The sequence below is a fragment of the Homo sapiens genome, chromosome X (genome assembly GCF_000001405.40).
Source record: "Homo sapiens chromosome X, GRCh38.p14 Primary Assembly".
NCBI classification, from domain to species: Eukaryota; Metazoa; Chordata; class Mammalia; order Primates; family Hominidae; genus Homo; species Homo sapiens.
Window position 1 is genome coordinate 22,089,576 of NC_000023.11, and position 21,292 is coordinate 22,110,867.

Genomic DNA, 21,292 nt, shown 5'->3' on the forward strand with positions numbered 1-21,292 from the left:
ATACCTGGCTAATTTTTATATTCTTAGTAGAGACGGGGTTTCACCACGTTGGCCAGCCTGGTCTCAAACTCCTGACCTCAAGTGACCCACCCACCTTGGCCTCCCAAAGTGCTGGGATTACAGGTGTGAGCCACCACACCAGCCTAAGGTGCTGAAAGTTTTAATTCAAGAATTTATACTATACTTTTCTATCACTGTAATTCTACTTATTTAGTTGTCTGGTTATTATTTGTGTTTTTATCACTTATCCTAAACCTTCCAGAGAGGGTTCTAACATTTGCGAAGGTTTCTCAAAACAAAATTATTATTTGATTCCATTCAAATAAAAAAAAATCAATGCCATATGTTATTTTAGAGATAAGGAGTTGGAAACGTCTGATTAATCAACTCTATACAGATTGGCATTTTGCAAAACACTGCAATGAGAAAAATACTGGAACTGGTGATAGGAGACAACGATTTTAGTCTGAGCTCTGCCCAATCATGTTACCTTGGGAAAGTCACAACAATTATCTGGCTTTTGTTTCTCCTCCCATTGAATAAGGGAGAATAGCTAATAATCTCTAAGATCTATTCCAACTGAAATAGCCTTGTTGTTATTCAGTGTTGATAGGACCTCAAAAGGTTTAGAAAACATAAATTAGAAAAGCAGGGGCAGGTCTCTGATAGTTTATTATATCTGTCATTGCCAAAGTGCCTATTTGCATGTAATTCTGAGTGTACTGAATTGTTTTTGTAATGGTGACATGAGCTCAAAATATGGCTGGGATGCAGACGATTTCATCACTCTTGTTAACATGGTACGTAAGAATTTACAGTGCTAGCAGAATGCTTTCTGTTTTTGTTTTTACAGCTGGACCAAGCAACACTCTCCCTGGCCGTGAGGGAAGACTACCTTGATAACAGTACAGAAGCCAAGTCTGTAAGTTTTACTCATATTCAACTATGTGCCTTACCAGGCTGCTGTCAGGCCCATTAGTTCTAAGGCCGCTGCTTCTTTATTGGAAATGAGCAGTGTGGCTATTCAATGACCATATTCCCAATGCAGGAAGACTTTTATTCAGGCAGATAAATTCCACTCCCTGTCTTTCTAGAAGTCTGCTCATCAAGGCTGTACAAGTCTCAGTACTCAATGCCCTTATCTAGCTTGGGAGACAGCACTCCCAAATGAAGTAACAAAGAAATGAGCTTGCAGTCATTCATTCCTCAGAAGTGCAGAGAGCTCACTATCAATTGCAGAAATAAAGCGTCAGAAGAGATACCCAGGAGACAGATGGTTCCCAAATTGTACTGCTTTAGAATCACTTGGGAGGCTTTCATTAAATGTTGCTTCTTGGGTCACAGCCCTGGAGAGTCTGACTTAGACTTGAGGTAGGGTCTGAGAATCTATATTTTTAACAGGTGTTCCAGGTTAATGGAGGTTTAATAAGAATCAGAAAGGATCAATCAAGTTAGACTTCTTGGATTGGCTTAGAAATCTAGCAGTCTCCTGGATATTGGAAAGAGCTGGTTCATTTCTGACACTTTCAATTTATTTTGGAAACTTTATTGAACTTCCAAAGGAGCCTCAGACCTAGGTCCCCTGGGTCTATGCCGATACTAACTTCTATACATAGAAGGCTCTGGAGGGAAGCTAACTAAGATGCTGGGCAGCTTTCTTGCTGAGGACACTCACCAAAGAGGGTTGGCAAGTTTTCCTTCCTAAAAGTGGACAGAATGAACATTTGCCAATGTGGGGGGAGGGTGTACCCCTGGTATTGATGGAGTCTCAGCAACCAGGCTCAAAATCGTCTCCCCCTATAACCTATCTGTCAAGTCCTAATGATTCTACCTTCAAAATATCTCTTCCATCCACTTGGTCCCTCTTTTCTATCCTGACTGCTATAGGTCAGATTCTTGTTAACTCTTGCCTTGACTACAGCAAGTAGCCTTTTAACTGTTACTGCTTCTCCTTCATCACATTGCCTCCTTAGCACCAGTTGACAAGTTCTGTTCTCAAAGCACTGCTCCTAGCATGCCTTCGCTCCCAAGACAGGGTCTAAATTCTTTAGAGGGCTTTCAAGGCTGCCTCATGACTTTATCCCAAGTCATCTTTCCTATCTCATCTGGATTTGTTCTTCCCCCAACAAAAGCAGCTTGCCCACTGTATTAGTCCATTCTTTTTCTCCTAATAAAGACATACCTGAGACTTGGTGATTTATAAAGGAAAGAGGTTTAATGGACTCACAGTTCCATGTGGCTGGGGAGGCCTCACAATCGTGGCAGAAGGTGAATGAGGAGCAAAGTCACGTCTTACATGGTGTCAGGCAAGAGAGCTTGTGCAGGGGAACTCCCATTTATAAAGCCATCAGATCTCATGAGACTTACTCACTACCATGAGAATATGTGGGGGAAACCACCCCCATGATTCAATTATATCCACCTGGCCCTACCCTTGACATGTGGGGATTATTACAATTCAAGGTGAGATTTGGGTGGGGACACAGCCAAACCATATCACCCACCTCACAGGACCCTTCACTGCGTTGGAACCAGTCTCCCTCAAATGCTATGTCCCCAGTTTCTCCGGGCTAGATTTTTCTCTCAGATCTTCAGTTTCCAAGCGTGTAGCAGCTTTATTAAGGAAGTTATTTTGATGTCTTTAATGTTACAGTTCATAATTACATGTTTATCTCCCTCACTGTTTGGGAACCAGACACAGCATTATTATTTTTTTTCTGTACCACCCTCTCCTAACATATGCACAGAGGGCCTACCAAGCCACCTTGTACATTTGAGTAGGTACTCAATAAATATGTTTTTTGGTTTTTCTTTTTAGATAGAGTCTCACTGTGTTGCCCCTGCTGAAGTGCGGTGGCACAATCTCGACTCATTGCAACCTCTGCCTCCTGGATTCAAGTGATTCTCCCACCTCAGCCTCCCGAGTAGCTGGGATTATGGGCATGCACCACCATGCCGGGCTAATTTTTGTATTTTTAGTAGAGACAGGGTTTCACCATGTTGGCCAGGCTGGTCCCAAACTCCTGGCCTCAAGTGATCTGCCCACCTCGGCCTCCCAAAATGTTGGAATTACAAGTGTGAGCCACCACCTCCGGCCAATAAATATGTTTTGAATTGAATTAGGAATAGCAAAATATTATTTCTATTTAAGACTTCTTTTCTTTTCTTTCTTTCTTTTTTTTTTTTTTTTTTGAGATGGAATTTCCCTCTGTTGCCCAGGCTGGAATGCAGTGGCATAATCTCGGCTCACTGCAACCTCCGCCTCCTGGGTTCAAGCGATTCTGCTACCTCAGCCTCCCGAATAGCTGAGACTACAGGCGTGCGCCACCACGCCCAGCTAGTTTTTTTGTATTTTTAGTAGAGACGGGGTTTCACCATGTTGGCCAGGCTGGTCTTGAACTCCTGACCTCGTGATCCACCTGCCTCAGCCTCCCAAAGTGCTGTGATTTCAGGCGTGAGCCACCACGCCCAGCCTATTTAAGACTCTTTTCAAAGCTTGCTTACTGATTCAACAAAGATTTATTAAAGGCCTCCTGTATGCTAAGTACTGTATAGGTCCTAAGGTCATACATATAGTAAGAATAGCTTACAGAGTCAAGGTATAAGTTAGTAAATCTTATTCCCAATGCATGAGAAGGAGGTCATTTAATACCTGATGCGTTGAGATCTCACAAATATATCTGAAATGAGAGGTGGGCCTAAGGCAGTTCTTTAATTCCCATTAAGTAAGGTCACCCCTGCCCCACCCAATGACATATGATTATCCCCAAAATGGGTTTATGAGTATGTAAGAAGGAAATTCTATATTTGCTATTTGTTAGGTTTCCTATCATCGTTCCTCTCTTTTCTCCTTTTTTTCCTGAGCTAGGGAGCAGGACTTTGTGAAAACTGTAAAAACCTGAAAAGACACAGGGCTGCTGTCACTGGTCTTTTATTTCTTAGTGTGAAGGTGGGTAAATTGAGTTGCAAGAGAATAAATCACACCTCCCACCATTCTTTATGGATCAGGCCTCCTGCTTTTAGAAACAGTTCTTTCCCATTGTTTTATTAAAGCCTCACTTGTCTGGAAAGAGGAAGTCTGACCTTTAACTTTCTATTCTTGTCTCATTTGGAGTTATTTCATGTATCCATAATATCGACGGTTGCCAGAAAACTAGTTCTCTTGTTGCTTGATGGCTGGACATCTCTGTCTGTCATGGAAACAGTACTCAAGTAGCCGTCACTCTTTTTTTCTCCCAAAGTGTTATATGGGTGCCTGGTATTGCATAATGCCTGCACCATACTTTGAGTACAGAGTGAAAATAAAAGACATTTATTTCTACCTGCTATTTTCTGCTCTTCCATGTCTCTCAAACATATTTCCTAAGAAGCTATTGTCATGGTCACTTTGTTCTTTATTTCTTACAGTATCGGGATGCCCTTTACAAGTTCATGGTGGATACTGCCGTGCTTTTAGGAGCTAACAGTTCCAGAGCAGAGCATGACATGAAGTCAGTGCTCAGATTGGAAATTAAGATAGCTGAGGTAAGTCTTCACTGAAAATCTCTTTCTTTCCTTTACTTTCTTTTCTTTTCCTTTACTTTCTTTTCCTTTCCTTTTATTAAAGGCAGTATATCCTGAATGAAAATATAAATTGCAAACAAATAATAGCGTTTTGTGTCATTGCCCATTGGGCCCAAGGTAGAACTAATAGCATCCCCTCTAGGAAGTAACAAGGACTGTGACAGAAAAGCTCCTCATTCCTTCCACCTCCCTGGTTTAAGCCCATTCAGTGTCCATACGTTGCTCAGCTGTGGCCAAAGAATAGCAGCAGAGAGACCCTCTGACCGTTTTTCCTGGAGAAACTCATGTTTGGCTTAAATAGAAGATAGATGTTTAATAAATCCTTAGTAATCTGGCTTGAATGGAAGGTTGCTTTTAATCCAGCCCATGTTTTATGCTATCCCCACTCAGAGTCATTCTGGCTTAAGTTCTGGGCTCAGGGAAATCTGTCCACCAATACTGGATATAAAAGTTGGTATAGAAATAGGTAGGACATGCTGGTAAGCATTTTTAAACGACCTTTCTGGTATTACTTTGTACCTGCCCCTGTTTTTCATTATTTTCTTGCCCTACTTTAATGAATATCATTGTGTCATATACATGACACAGAACTACATGTCTATGTAAATTACCTTAACTTCTTGTTGGCTCATTGTAGAGACAAAAAGATGTAAAAACAAACTTGTGGGCAAAATAATGAGAACTCCTAAATGGTTAGCTTTGTTTATGGAATAACTTTTTTCTAGAAGAAAGAAAGTGTAAAAATCTCTCTATATGTTCCTAGGCCAAGAGGGAATAAATGTGGTAAAATCTGCTTCTGGGGAAACCCTGTAGTGAAAAAAATGATACTTTTTACCAAGAAAGTTTTGCGTATGTGTTGGGAATCTTTTACAAGAGAAGTTGGTAAAAATCTCGAGATGAATAAGAGTCCAAATGTTGATTGGTTTTGTTTGGCGAGGTGGTGGTGGTGTGTTGAGGTATGGAGTAGGGATGAAGGATAAGGGTAAGGAGGAATTGGTCTCTCTCTCTTTGCCGTGGTGATGTTCGTGTATAGCTCTCTCCAAACTCCTACTTGCAGTGCAAAAAGTTCATTCCTGCATGTCACCTTTGAAGACTGTGAAGACTGCTGCAGATGTTTCGAAGTCCAGGACTGTGCCTCTGAGCCATGTCTAGAGTCTGTCTGAATTCTCTTTCCAGGCACATAGGAGGCCCAGGGCTCTCATTTGGACTAAAACTCTGAAACAGCAGGGAAGGCCTTGCCCTGAGCCAGGGATTTGGACCAAAAAGGGAACTAAAAACAGCTGGGCTGAGGCAAGACTGGGAATTGTCAAAAGGCTAAATGAAGTGACAAATCTATTGTGTGGAGGGGAGTGGCTGGCAGAGAGCTGAAAACAGCTCTGAGGCCAAAGGGCTCCAACTTGGGGCTGTGAGACTCCGAGGGCGGAGGAGGGATTGGTGGAAGAGGAGTGTGGATATCCTCTGAGGCAATGATTCACACCGAGCCAGGAGGCTGTTTGTAAGTTACATGTGGTCTCTCCTGTGGAGGGTGAAGAAAGGGAAGCTAAGGACACTGAAGCATTTAGCAAAGAGGGGCCAGACGTCTGCCAGTCAGCCCTCTGTAATTTTTACCTTGAAAAATCACTGCTAGTAATGCTCACTTCCATATCTTACACTACACATCACTAGGTACTTTTAAAATTAGTGGGATACATAGTCCTATGGAAACTTCTGAAGCTGGGAAGACAAGACAGTCCAGCCCAGCCAAATACGTCCTTGTAATTACAACCAGGGAAGCATATACTTAACCAATCCAGCTAGAGAGATGTGTGCACAAGGAGAGGTTTTATTGATGGAGTAGCCCTTGTGATTGGAACCAAGTGGAGTGTAATTGGAAAGGCTTGCTAGATGCAGTGAGTCTTGGGCAGTCCTGAGTCATAGTTCAAACCATGGAGGTGGTGATGGTGGATAGGAGATGCAAGAGTCGGAGAGTCATGTGTGCAGTGGGAAGGTGGCAAGTTTAATGCAAGGGAATTAGATGATGGAAGGCCCGAAGGCAAAGTCATGACGTGATTGAGGGGTGGATATGTGAGCTACTGCTGGTCAATGGAAGTGATTAAGATGATCCTTGAGGAAGATAATCATTGCTGCTGTTCTTAGGTTAAACATAGTGGAGGCTAGAAGCTCAGATTTGGTGTTGGCCAAATGGCCAAGAGCATGAGTATTAGGAATTGAAAGAGTATAGAGCCAGGGCTAGAGAGAGGCAAGTTTTGAAATGTGTGTCCAGGCGGTGACTAAATCCATACCCCCAGCAATGGGGCTAGGGAAATCTCAAGGCCAAAGAGACAAGAGGGGAAATGAGGGAATGAGCTGTTGACAAAATGATCACGGGGAACAGTGGCATCCAGATAGTCTTGTGTTCATCAGTGAAAATTTGCCCCTAGAGGTGAAGGGATGGTCTGTGGTTCATGAAATATTGAAATCATTATCTGGAGACCACAGGTGACAATGGGATGTTTACCTCAATGTCCAACTTAAGTTTGATTGTCAAAATTGAGCCAGCAATAGATTTTGCCCATCCACATTATAGATTGGGAGGGAGATTTGGGGTAGTTCTTTTTGTACTGGGGACAATATTTCACACAGAGGAGGATATGAAAGTTTATTTTCTTAATCCTGCCTAAAGTGATGTCTTTTTTTCTCTTCCCCGAGTTGGGGACCACACCAAAGCCTTGAAAAACTTTATAATACTATGCAGATGTTTTGGCACATGTAGGAAGTAATCATACAGTAAGAAATGGTTCACTTGAAAAAAAATAACAAAAATCTCTTTTCAACAGATAATGATTCCACATGAAAACCGAACCAGCGAGGCCATGTACAACAAAATGAACATTTCTGAACTGAGTGCTATGATTCCCCAGGTTGGTGAAAACTATCCAGAAAACTTTCTCTCAACTCATCATTTTAGAAGGGATTGGATTTCATCTCTGTGTAAATTTGTGTCTTGTAAAACCTGCTCTCAGTCTTGGTTATCATCATCTTTGTCAACAATCACATAAAATATCCCTTGTCTGTGTATTGGGATGCCTTCTGTTACAGGGAACAAAACATCTTTCCAACAGTGGCTTAGAAACTTAAAGCCTATATTCTCACATGACAAAAGTCTAGACATAGGTAATTGTTGGCATTGGCTCAGCTGTTTAACAGTGTTGTCAAAGGCCCAAGTTCTTTCTATCTTTCCATCCTACTGTGTTTAGTGTGTTGGCTTTTTGACTTCATGTTTGATGACTCATGGTTCCAAGGTATCCATCACAGCTCCATATATCACATCTGCTGTCAGAGCAGGAAGAAGGTGAAAGGGCCAGTGATGTGTCTAACTCTTTTACTAGGAAAAACAAACAAGCCTTTCCAGAACATCTCCAGATGTCTTCCCTTTATTTCTTATTGAGTAGGATTGGGTCACATGGCCACTCCTAACCACAGGGGAGGTTGGGCAAGTGAGTAACTGGTTTTCCGTTTCAACAGTGGACACAGGCAAGGAAGAAAAGGTTGGGAAAAGACTTTTAGAGTAGCCAATCTAAAAAACACCATATGGTGTTTTAGGTAGGATAGGGATGCTCTGAAGAATGGAGGCATGTTACTTTCTGTGTTTTTATTTGTTTTTTTTTGAGACACAGTCTTGCTGTGTCATCCAGGCTGGGGTGCAGTGGTGTGATCTTGGCTCATTGCAACCTCTGCCTCCCGGGTTCAAGTGATTCTCCTGCCTTAGCCTCTCGAGTAGCTGGGATTACAGGTGCCGGCCACCACACCTAGCTAATTTTTGTATTTTTGATAGAGATGGGATTGGCCAGGCTGGTCTCAAACTCCTGACCTCAAATGATCCACCTGCCTCGGCCTCCCAAAGTGCTGGGATTACAGGTGTGAGCTACCATGCCTGGCTGCATTTACTTTCTGTTGCTGCTTATTTCCTCTTGTGTTTTTTTTTTTTTTTTTTTAAAAACTGTGTCACAGAGACAAATTATGTACTGGGGCATCTGTTTCTGTGTGTATGTGAGAGTGAGGGAGAGTACAGGACAGAGAAAGGGAGGGAGGGAGAGAGAAAATGTACCGTATAGAGGAAGAATTTAGAAGGAGGAAGAGAAATGCAGGAGAGAAGGAGGGAAGAGTATGGGAGGAAGAAAGAGTATAGAATAGAGGAAGAGTACTGGACAGGGAGAGAGCAGAATGGGGAGAGAAAGACAGAGGGGAGAGTTCAGGAAGGAGGAAGAGTACTGGAGGGGGCCAAGGGAGTGAGGGTGCATATTACTGTGTTAGTGTGTGTGTGGGTGTCGTCCAGATGTAGATGGTACAGAACACATGCTCCATTTGTGATTAAGACAATAGGTCAGGCCGAGCATGGTGGCTCATACCTGTAATCCCAGCACATTGGGAGGCCAAGGTGGGTGGATCACTTGAAGTCAGGAGTTCGAGACCAGCCTGGCCAACATGGTGAAATTCCACCTCTACTAAAAATACAAAAAAAAAAAAAAAATTAGCCAAGTGTGGTGGCAGGTGCCTGTAATCCCAGCTACTCAGGAGGCTGAGGCAGGAAAATTGCTTGAACCCAGGAGGCAGAGGTAACAGTGAGCCAAGATCATGCCACTGCACTCCAGCCTGGGTGATAGAGCGAGAATGTCTCAAAAAAAAAAAAAAAAAAAAAAAAAAAAAAAAGACAATAGGTCTGGATGGCAATGATCAGGAGTTTATTTTCTAGACTTGAGTAGTTGCATCTTGAATTATTAGGTGTGAAATCAAAAGAAATGAATGATGCTCAATCTACTCTATCTGCCTTTCTTACTTGCTACCTAACCGAGATTCTCTCATTCTGTTTTGTTCTCTCTCCCCTCAGTTCGACTGGCTGGGCTACATCAAGAAGGTCATTGACACCAGACTCTACCCCCATCTGAAAGACATCAGCCCCTCCGAGAATGTGGTGGTCCGCGTCCCGCAGTACTTTAAAGATTTGTTTAGGATATTAGGGTCTGAGAGAAAGAAGTAAGAACTTTCACATGAATTTTACTGTGACTTTTGTGTTTTCTTTAAATTATAAGGGCTTCCCTTCTCACATCCTTTGAAAACTGTTTTTAAAGAATGTTACATCAAAAGAGTCATAGGGAAAATCCCGGTGTCCTTTGTGATGAACTGGCCAAAAGCACTGTCTGGTGTAATTTACTTGCTGCAATGATAACAAATGTTTTTGCCCTTTATTTCTGGTCTTTCTCCATGCTGTTCTCTTTGAGATCCTAAATTGTTTATGAGCTTGGGGAGCTAGTCATATAATGATGTTATTTTCTAAAATGTCTGTGTGAACATCTTTTTTTTTCCCCAGTTCATTCTCAATCTTTTGCTGCTTTTTTTTTTTTTTCCTGGTTCCTTTTTAACCATTAAGTCACTTTCTGGCAATAAACTAAAGTAACTGTATTGAGAAGACACAAGACCACCTTGAGAGTGGTAGAAAAATTGCACGGATAAAACAACTTTAGGAACTGCCAGGTTTTTCTTATTTTAAAGAATGTTTTAGAATTTGTTGCTTTGCTAGTTTATTGCTACAAAGAAAAATCTTCCAATATTCCAGGAAGGAGAATTTTACAGGTTCCTTAAGGCATTCAGCTTTGACTACAGAAAATGAATCACAGAGCTTACAAAATGAATCAACGAGTTTACAAAACACTTTACTGAGTTAATTGCTGGGCCATGATTAAAATCACATTTTCTTATTTGGACTCAGACAAGGCTATGTTGCCAGAAGTTACGTTTTTTAAAAAAGGCACAACAGTCCTTGGAAGAAAATGTAGCATTTATCCCCTACGGAAACACTTAGACACCTGAGAGGAGCTGCTGCTCTTTTTAAGATACTTTCTGATGATAAAAGTAATCTGTGTTCACTGAGGAAAACATACAGAAAAAGGAGAGAAGAAACAATTAATTTACTTAAAATTCTATCATTTAGAGATAAGCCAGGATTCTTTGAAAATGTTCTAAATGGAAATTGAATCTAGAGGTACGTAATTATATTGCAGGGTAGAGCCTTGCTCCATGGACCAGGAATGTCAGCAGCATCACCTCGGGTGCTTGTTAAAAATGCAGATTCCAAGGCCCTCCTCCATTGAGTCTGATCCAGTAGAGCTGGAGGGGAGGCCAAGTAATCTTTATTTTAAACAAGTACCTCAGAAGAATCTTATGATTAACTTTTCTTAGGGGAGGGGAAGGGGATCACTGTATTAGAAAATTTCTTTGTAAGTACTTCCTAGCTCTCAAATACTATAAAATATGACCCAAACGATTTTCTACTCATATGCCATTGAGTTACGGAGCACATTTTAAATTTTGGTGGTAATTTCCATTGAAAGGTGGAGTTTGGCCTGCTTTAGATTCATCCTTCACCTCGTGAGTCAGTTTCTTCTAGTATCTGTGTTAAAAGAGTAGGTACTTCTGAACACTGATTGATTTTACTTCCAAAAAAGCCTAATTTACAATCAGGGGATAGATTGGGATTTGGTTTACTGTATTAGAAAAAGCATCTCTATCGTGATGATTTTACTTGGTAATTGCAGGACCTTTCATAACAATGGAAAAGAGCATGATTGGAGGGAGATTTTACTCTGATTCTTGTCAAAATGATAACTTGGACAAATATAAACGTAGAGAACAACAGTAGAAAAAACATAGATGGAAAAGTCACCTTAGATGTTATGTACACATACAACTTCATTTAAAAATAAGGACAAAAATTGGCCAGGCGCGGTGGCTCACACCTGTAATCCCAGCACTTTGGGAGGCTGAGGTGGGCAGATCACTTGAGGCCAGGAGTTCAAGACCAACCTGGCCAACATGGTGAAACCCCGTCTCTACTTAAAAAAAATACAAAATTTAGCTGGGCGTGGTGGCTGGCACCTGTAATCCCAGCGACTTGGGAAGCTGAGGCAGGAGAATCGCTTGAACCCAGGAGGTGGAGGTTGCAGTGAGCCAAGGTCGCACCACTGCACTCCAGCCTGGGTGACATAGCGAGACTCTGTCTTAAAAAATAAATAAATAAAAATAAAGCCAAATCCCAAATCTCTTTCACACAGTTTATCCCTCAACCACCAGTTTATAAAAAGCAACTTGTGTTCTGCGTATTCTTGTGAGATTTCAATACAACGTACACATCATGAGAAGTCTGACAGCATTTTATTTGCAGACTATGGTGATGTTTTTTCATTGATGATCGTGTTTAATCACCACTCGTGTAGCATTACAGGGCTACTTGAGGAAAAGTCTTCTTGGGTTCCCATAATTGCCATATTGGTCAGGATATGCCAGTTGCTATAACCAGCACCTCTAAACACTCATTGGCTAAATTGTACCCTCTGCTCATGGAACAGTCTGAACATGGGTGTCCCTGTAAGAGAGCTTTCTTCTAAATAGTGACTTAGGAAGCCAGACTCCTTTCATCTTATGGCTCTGCCCTCCCTTGGATGTTTGGCATCCTCTCTATTCAGCTGGAGGATGGAGAAACAGAGAGGGTGGAGGATTGTATAGGTTTTGGTGGGAAGGCCTAGAAGTGGGGTATGTCACTTCTACCCATAATCCATAAGCCAGAACTCAGTCTTGTGACTCATCTAGCTGTAGGGGAGACTGGGAAATATAGTTTAGCTATATACCCAGAAGGAAAAGGAGTTGGAGTTTCCCTAGACATGCCTTTATCAAAGAGCCTATCTCATTTTCTTGAAATGACCACTTTTCTCTCAATGGCAAATACTTCCCTGCTCCCTACCTCTATGACACTGTGAGCACCTCATGGCAGGCACTCTTTTTTAATTTTTAATTTTTGTGGGCACAGGACATATTTTGATACAGGAATGTAATGCATAATAATCACATCAAGGTAAATGGGGTATCTATCCCCTCAAGCATTTGTCCTTTGTGTTACAAGCAATCCAATTATACTGTTTTATTTATTTAAAAATGTACAATTACACTATTTTTGACTATAGTTACCTGTTGTGCTAGCAACTACTAGGTTTTATTCATTCTTTCTATTTTTTTGTACCCATTAACCATCCCTCCTTCCCTCCTTCCCCTCTGCTATCCTTCCCAACCTCCAGTAACCACCCTTCTATTCTCTATCTCTATGAATTCAATTATTTTAATTGTTAGCTCCCACAGATAAGTGAGAACATGTGAAGTTTGTCTTTCTGTGCCAGGTTATTTCACTTAACATTATGATCTCCAGTTCCACTCATGTTTCTGGAAATGACAGGATCTCATTCTTTTTTATGGCTGAATGGTCCTCCGTTGTGTATATGTACCACATTTTTAAAAATCCATTTATCTGTTGATGGACACTTAGGTTGCTTCTGGCAGGCTGTCTTGTGATTGCTTTTTTAAGTGTTGTGACCTAGCACAGTGCTTCTCATGTAGTAGACACTTTAAAAATTCTAGAAGTTAACCAGATACCCCATCACCACCACAAGGAGGTGACATATGAATGGAACCCCAAAGGATAAAGAGGAATTTTCTAGGTAGGGAAGAATAGAGAAAAGGGGATGGTAAGCATCTTCAGTGGTGGAACCAATGTGAACTTGGGTGTTGCCTGCAAGGCAGGGGGCTAGAGAGCTGAGAGGCCAGCTTGGGCTCAGGATATGTAGAGGAAAAGCATCAGATGAATGTTCTGAGGATCCCCCCACCTCCTACCTTTCCCTTGGAGGCACCATTGAAGAAAAAGCCAGCCAAGCCTTCTCACATTGGGCATCTCTGCTGTGCCTCTGTTTCGAGAATCTGCCTATAAAAATCATATACAGGTAATGGTGATGTTAACCACCACTATGGTTAACATCTTTGATCTTTACAACAATTCTATGCGTTGTTCCCACTTTACAGATGAGGAAGCTGAGGTTAAGTGACTTGGCCAAGATCACACCTCTAAGAGGAAACAGAGCTGAGATTCTAAATGGGGTCACCCTCATTTCTATGTCTTGTCTCTTTTTTTCCATAAATGTCTTGGTGTGAAAAGAGATACTTTTCAGATGCTTCACTGCTCATTTTGGAGATGCTAGCGTATTGTACCCTCAGCTAGTTAGATATTGCTAGCTTTGGCAATTTTCCTGCAATGTTCAGCAGTTCAAAGCCATCCTGTGTTGGTGTCAGCTGTTCATTTCTTATTTTTTATTTTTATTTTTATTTCAATAATTTTGGGGGAACAGGTGGTGTTTGGTTGCATGGAAAAATTCTTTAGTGGTGATTTCTGAGATTTTGGTGTACCCATCACCTGAGCAGTGTACATTGTACCCAATATGTAGTCTTTTATTGCTTACCCCCTCCCACTCTCCCCCTGAGTCCCCAAAGTCCATTATATCATTCTTATGCCTTTGCATTCTCGTAGCTTACCTCCTGCTTATAAGTGAGAACATGCGATATATGTTTTTCCATTCCTGAGTTACTTCACTTAGAATAATCATCTTCAGCTCTATCCAGGCTGCTGCGAATGCCATTATTTCCTTCCTGTTTATGGCTGAGTAGTATTCCATGGTGTATATATACCACATTTTCTTTATCCATTCGTTGGTTGATGGGCATTTATGTTGGTTCCATATTTTTGCGATTGCAAATTGTGCTGCTGCTATAAACATGCATGAGCTAGTATCTTTTTTGTATAATGACTTCTTTTCCTCTGGGTAGATACCCAGTAGTGGTATTGCTGGATCAAACGGTAGTTCTATTTAGTTCTTTAAGGAATCTCCATACTGTTTTCCATAGTGGTTGTACTAGTTTACATTCCCACCAGCAGTGTAAAAGTGTTCCCTTTTCACCACATCCATGCCAACATCTGTTATTTTTTTGATTTTTGATTATGGCCATTCTCACAGGAGTGAGGTGGTATCTCATTGTGGTTTGGCACTTCCCTGATAATTAGTGATGTTGAGCATTTTTCATATGTTTGTTGGCCCTTTGTATATCTTCTTTTGAGAATTGTCTATTCATGTCTTTTGCCCACTTTTTGATGGGATTGTTTGTTTTTTTCTTTCAGCTGCTCATTTCTCAATTGCTGCTTCTCCCTTCTTATATTACTCCCACTGCCAGTCTAGGGGATTAGGCCTCTTTCTCTGACTGAGTGGCTGTGGGGACAGTGGCACTGACTCTTTGGTAGGTGGTGCATGGTACAGAATTAGAGCAATGAGATCCTCCAGTGGTGGTGGTGCCAAACCACACCAGCCCTTGCAGTCCAAGGGGGTAGGTGGCCAGGGAGGGACCCTTGGAGGAATGAGCTGGAGGCTGCCTGTGGGGAACAAGAGCTGGTGTTTGAGGTGGAAAGGGGGGTGGGGTAAGGAGGTAGTGATGATCCCTCATGTTATGTGCATCTCTTCCTAACTACATGTTCGGTGATCTCATGTTGATAGTTTCAATTCAACTATGGGGGATTTTGACACCATGGAAATTGGCAAATGTAACAAATCATTTTTCTTTTTCTTGACAAGGCAGTTGGCAACCTTTACTAGCACATCACTGGGTGAGGGGCACTATAGACTTCTCTCCCTTTCTGTCCCCCTCAATTCTCCTCCTCACTCCTGACTCGAGGCTGCCTCAGACACTTCCCATCTACTTTTATCTGAGGAGTAAGAGTGGGAGGAGGAGAGGCCAAGGAAGGTTGGCATCAGGAGGAGCTGACGTGATTTCCTCTTGCAGGCCAGGGCTGGATCCATGGAGATCATCTGCGCCAGGACTGTTTTCTTTTGTTGTTGTTGTTGTTTTGTTTTTTAGCAGACTGGCCTAGAGCAAACCCTTGGAGTTTTGTCAAGGACCCTGTAAGTATTCCTGTCTTTAGTTTTATTTTCATATAAAGCAAGTACAATGTACATTAAAGTAAGATGATTCTTGTTGCATGTTCCCAAAGGATGACCTGGAAAATGTGCTGTTATGTGGACCTCTCCTGGGGGCCAGCTCTTCTGAGAGTGATCTAGGGTCTTGCTAGCCAAAGAATGGCCTACAGATGAGCAGCAGAGACATTACTGGGGAGTTTGTCAGAAATGCAGACTCTCGGGCTCTGCCCCAGACCTACTGAATCAGAGGCTGAAATTGAATAAGATCCCCAGGGGACTCATATATACATTCAAGTTTAAGAAGCACTGATGTGGGATTTAGGAAGTCCTAGTTGAGCTGTGTGTGCAGAACGATGCGGAGATGGAGTTTTCCTAGACCAGCTGTTTTCAAACCTGACACGCCTCAGAATCCCCTGGAGGGTTTGCTAAAATACAGTCTGCTGGCCCCCCACCCCACAGATTCTGATTCAGCAGGTCTGGCGGTAAGGCCTAGGAATTTTCTAACAAGTTCTCAGATGACGCTGAAGCTGCTGGCTCAGGGACACACTTTCAGAATCACTGCCTTACATAAGCCTCTAGGCAGCCTGTAGGAAGATCTCTGGCTTTGAGAACCTTTAAGAAGAGCCTCTGTGGCTCACTTCAGATAGTATGACCAAGACGAGCAAATGCAAGTTCTGGAATCTGAAAACCCAGATGTTAGTCCTGGATTTGACACATTCTTGGAAGTACCTTGACCTCTTACCTTTGTTTTCTTCACCTGAAAATAAGGATAATAATAATAATCACCTCACAGCACTGTTAGAAATATCAAAGAAGGTATTTTATGATCTCTTAAATGTGATACAAATGTAAGCTGCCACTACAATTTGAGTATCCCTTATCCAAAATACTTGGGATTGGAAGTGTTTCTGATTTTGGATTTATTCAGATTTTGGAATATTTGCATTATAATTACCAATTGAGCATCCCAAATCTAAAAATTAAAAGAATCTTCCAAGTCAGAGGCTTTAGGAAATGATTTCATGTTGCTCTCTTTGTGGTGGGTGCTCTTTTGAGATGCTTTGCCTTTCTCTGTTTGATTTATTGCCACTTGGGGAAATTACCATATGGCTGAAAATGTGTTTTTTTGGGAAAAAAGGATATTATGTGTTATTTTCAAGGACTGTTGCTGACTGTGATTTTTGCTTTTTGATATATCTGAGCATTAGGTGACAGTGATTCAGTCATTATGGTTATATCTGTTCCTGGCGTGGTAATATTAGCACTCCAAAACTGTGCTCCATAGCATTCTGTCAGTGTATTTATAACACACTGAAGAAACTCATCAGTGCCATTGTCTCGCTGTGTGAACTTCTCAGCATTACAGCTTCCAGCTTGCAGAGGTCTGGTTGTTATGCTATCACCTTTGTAATGCCTTGTCCAGGAAGTCCTCGTAATTCTTTTTGTGCCCACAGATTTCTGTGAAGCATCTTTGTTGGAGTGTTTTGGGGTCTCTGTGACTGGCCAGGAAATCTTAGCTAAATTAGAGGCTTTGGCCAGGCGTGGTGGCTCACGCCTGTAATCCCAGCAACTTGGGAGGCCGAGTTGGGCGGATTGCTTGAGTCCAGGAGTTTGAGACCAGCTTGGCAAAATCATGAAACCCTGTCTCTACCAAAAATACAAAAAAAAATGTGCTGAGCACAGTGGCGCATGCCTGTAGTCCCAGCTACTTGGGAGGCTGAGGCAGGAGGTTACCTTGAGCCTAGGAGATCGAGGCTGTAGTGAGCTGAGATTGTGCCATTACACTCCAGCCTGGGTGACAGGAGTGAGTGAAACTCTGTCTCAAAAAAAAAAAAAAAAAACCAAATAGAGGCTTTAATTCATCACTATCTGGCATAGGGAAAAGCATGCAGGCTTTAGAGTTAGACACACCTGGGTCTGGTCCGGCCTCCATTGCTTATTACAGTGGTTCTTCAACTTGGCCTCACATTGGACTTAGCTGAGGAGATTTATAAGCAATATTTATGTTGGGTCCCACTTTAGAGATTGTGACTTAATTGGCCTGGGGTGGCCTAGGCATGTGGACTTTTAACAACTTCCCCAGGTGACTCTACTAGTTTGAGACTCACTGAATATGTGATCGTGAGTTTACTTAATGGTTCTAAGCCTGAAGTCTCCTCATATGTAAAATGGGTATAATAACATCTCTCTTACAGCAGCACTGTGAGGATCATAATTAATGTGAGATGCCTAAATGGGATGATCTCAGGGGAGCTGGAAGGGCCCCTGCTTCTCAAACCCCAGTATACTTTGCCATACTACATCTTCCACCACCACCATTGGGCCCCCTAACAACTTCCCTAGTTATTCTGGCTCATCACCACCCCTTTGAGGGAATATCTTTTGAACTGATGAAAGGACATCTGCTGGCTGTTGACCTCCTTCTCGTCTCCACCTATGGATCCAGCATGGTTCACATGCCTGGTAAGAGGTATTTTAGAGACAAAGAACATAAAGTCCTTGCACTAGGACCAAGATCGGCCCATTAATGTGCTAGACACCATGACCTGGTCGCTGTCTGCATCTCCCCAGTGTGGCTGGCCTTTCTGCCCACTTCCTTGAGTGATGATCCTGTTCACCATCCTCTCCAACATATCAGCCGATTCCACCATTATTTAGCCTGTCCAGAGTTCACGTTCCTGTTTGCAACACCAAAGCCTTTTAACCTTTCGGCATGCTTCTCTCATGAAGCCTACTCTTAACCCTCAGTTTGAGATGTACTATCCTTACAGTGAAGTGTCTGGCACATACTTTTGGGTGCTAGTGTCTACCAAATCATTATTTATGCACTTGCCTCATCTCCCCTGCTCAGCTAAAAGCTTCAGGAAATCAGGGACTATCCATCTCCCCAGCACAGAGAACTGTTAGTATATATGTGGGTGCTCAGGATGTGTTGATTGAGTGAATGAAAGAAAGACCCTTATGTACTGACAGTGTGTCCCTTCAATTAAACAACCCAATTACATGAACAAGCTGAAATCTGAAGTCCTGTGTTCCCAGCTGGACTTTGAGTTCTCTAACTGTAGGTGCTGGGTTCTTACTTCTTTACGTTCCTCATGGCATCTGGCACAATACTTGGCCAACAATAAGTGCTCAGTGAGCACTTCTTGTCCTATTAAGGAGTGGAGATGTGAATGCAAAAGAGCCAAAGGAATGACCCCAAACCACTTAGTGGCCTCAACAGAGATGGGCAAGGGCTGGACTTTGCTGATTAGTGCAGTGGTGTCTTAGGGGAATGCGCATATCCTAACAAGATCCATTGGGTCTGAGAAGAACATTTTAGAACTTCTATATCTTTATTTAAATTTAAAAATAATTAGGCTTTATACAGAGTGGTATAATGGACTTTGGAGACTCAGAAGCAGGGAGGGTAGGAAGGGGATGAGGCATAAAAAAACTATAGATTGGATCCAGTGTACATTACTTGGGTGATGGGTGCACTAACATCTCAGACTTCACCACTATACAATTTATCCATATAACCAAAAACCATTTACATCCCCAAAAGCTATTGAAATAAAAAAACTTTATAAAGAAAAATAATTACACTTTATTGAGTTCTATATTGATGGCTATGGACCCTTCATTTGATCTGTATGGAACATGTGAGAGGGGCACTGTCACCCTCACTGGCTTGTTTTCATTCAATATATTAAAAATAATCTCAGCTGATACGGTGGCTCACGCCTGTAATCCCAGCACTTTGGGAGGCTGAGGCGGGAGGATCACCTGAGGTCAGGAGATTGAGACCAGCCTGACCAACATGGTGAAACCCCATCAGTACTAAAAATATAGAAATTAGCCAGTCGTGGTGGCGGGCATGTGTAATCCCAGCTACTTGGGAGGCTGAGGCAGGAGAATTGCTTGAACCTAGGAGGCAGAGGTTGCAGTGAGTGGAGATCGCGCCATTGCACTCCAGCTTGGGCGACAGAGCAAGACTCCATCTTCAAAAAAAAAAAAAAAAATCTTGAGCGGTTTACATATAGCTGTGGATTTATGAATTTTATTATCTAGTTTATCTAGTTTACTACTTACAAAGTAGACAAGTGGCTTAAAAATTCTTGCAGGAAACAGGAATTGAAATGATTATTGATGATGTAAGCACAAGAGAACAGCTAGAAATTGGCAGAAGTGACCCTTCTCCCAGGCTGGTATGCCATGTTGGTTAGCCAGATGACAAAAGAAATACAATGGTGGTCTAACAAGAACAAGGACAATGGCAATCTGACAAAGACATGTCATACATTTTTGAAATAGTCAAGAAGACTCTAAGAAATGTGGATTTATATTCATTGTCATTGTTGTATTAACCAAATCCTATATGGACACTGTGTCTTGAAGAATTAACCCAATGGTGTTTGAAGAATTAATGACTTTTGAAGATTTTAAATTTCATTTTACCTCATCTTTTGAAATTTCTGTTTTTGTATTTGTTAAAAATATTCCTAATATATTAGTCTATTAGTATATCTCTATAGAAATTAAACATCCATGTATTGGGTGTGTATGCTGAAAAATATTTTACTAGTAGGAGCGCATGTCCACTGTGTCAGAATGTCATACAAATGAGAGTGTAGTTTGTTCTTGATGGGCTTTTAGCATCATCATGTCATATTGCTCTCATGTGATTGGCTCACCAGAAAGCCATTTCAGGAATGTGTGTTATTAGTCACCATGGTAATGGCACAGCTGGGAGGGGAATGGATCATTAAAGATCCATCATCACTATTGAGTTAGAAATTAACTGAGATCACACATTCTTCTGAGGTCAGGTCATCTTTTGCTTATAGAAAAAGGCAACCCTTAAAATTTAACAGATTTTTAAAGATATGTATTATAGGCATTACATGAGCTTATGAGGTTGTTCATACATTTGGAAGTGAAAGACAAAACCCTAGAAATTGACTATTTGTCAAGCATTTTGTTATTTATTTGAACCCTGCAACAACTCTGTAAGGTAGGGATCATCCTCATTGTATGAAAAATAAAGATAAAATCACAGACCTTAAGTGACTTGTCGAAACTCACATATTTAGTAAGTATAGAATGAGGGTGCAAAATTAGATGATTGGTATTAGCCAATATTTTGCTGTTAGTTTCCAAAGGCAAAGAATACATAGGCATTGTATCAAGTCACCTAATCCAGTAAGTCCTCACTTAACATCATCGATAGCTTCTTGGAAACTGTGACTTTAAGCAAAATGACAGATAATGAAATCAATTTTACCATAGGCTAATTGATGTAAACAAGAGTTAAGTTCCCATGGCATATTCCTGCTCACAAAAACATCACCAAACTTCTAAATAAAGACCAAAACACTTCTAATATTGAACATTGAATACATGTGAGCTATGCGTACATTTAAGAAAGACAAATAAAAGCAAGTAAGATAATTTTTTTTGATCTTTGGAACCCATTCAATGTTTTTGTAGACATATTCTTTTTTTTATCCTTGTTTTCATTTTTTAAATTATACTTTAAGTTCTAGGGTACATGTGTACAACGTGCAGGTTTGTTACATATGTATACATGTGCCATGTTGGTGTGCTGCACCCATTAACTCAACTCGTCATTTACATTAGGTATATCTCCTAATGCTATCCCTCCCCCCTCCCTCTATGCAGCCATAAAAAATGATGAGTTCATGTCCTTTGTAGGGACATGGATGAAGCTGGAAACCATCATTCTCAGCAAACTATCACAAGGACAAAAAACCAAACACCGCATGTTCTCACTCGTAGGTGGGAATTGAACAATGAGAACACTTGGACACAGGAAGGGGAAAGTAAGATAATTATTAACCCAGTTATTCTAGTTCAGGGTTGCAGGTGCTGGAGCCTATCTAGGCAGCTCAGGGCACCAGGCAGGATCC

The 21,292-nt window shown here is 41.5% G+C and overlaps 1 protein-coding gene across 7 annotated transcripts in view; it reads left to right on the forward strand.

Annotated features, from left to right (window-relative positions):
* Nucleotides 1–21,292, forward strand: part of PHEX (phosphate regulating endopeptidase X-linked) — a 218,986-nt gene that overhangs the window by 57,251 nt on the left and 140,443 nt on the right. For 6 of the 7 annotated variants that reach the window (NM_000444.6, NM_001282754.2, XM_047442159.1 and 3 more), the window contains 4 exons: nt 854–922; nt 4,408–4,524; nt 7,380–7,463; nt 9,431–9,576. In NM_000444.6, coding sequence (NP_000435.3) covers nt 854–922; nt 4,408–4,524; nt 7,380–7,463; nt 9,431–9,576 — 416 coding nt within the window. Of the gene's footprint in view, nt 1–853; nt 923–4,407; nt 4,525–7,379; nt 7,464–9,430; nt 9,577–14,895; nt 15,366–21,292 lie in introns of those variants that run through there. The other variant, XM_011545536.3, reaches the window with a different exon arrangement.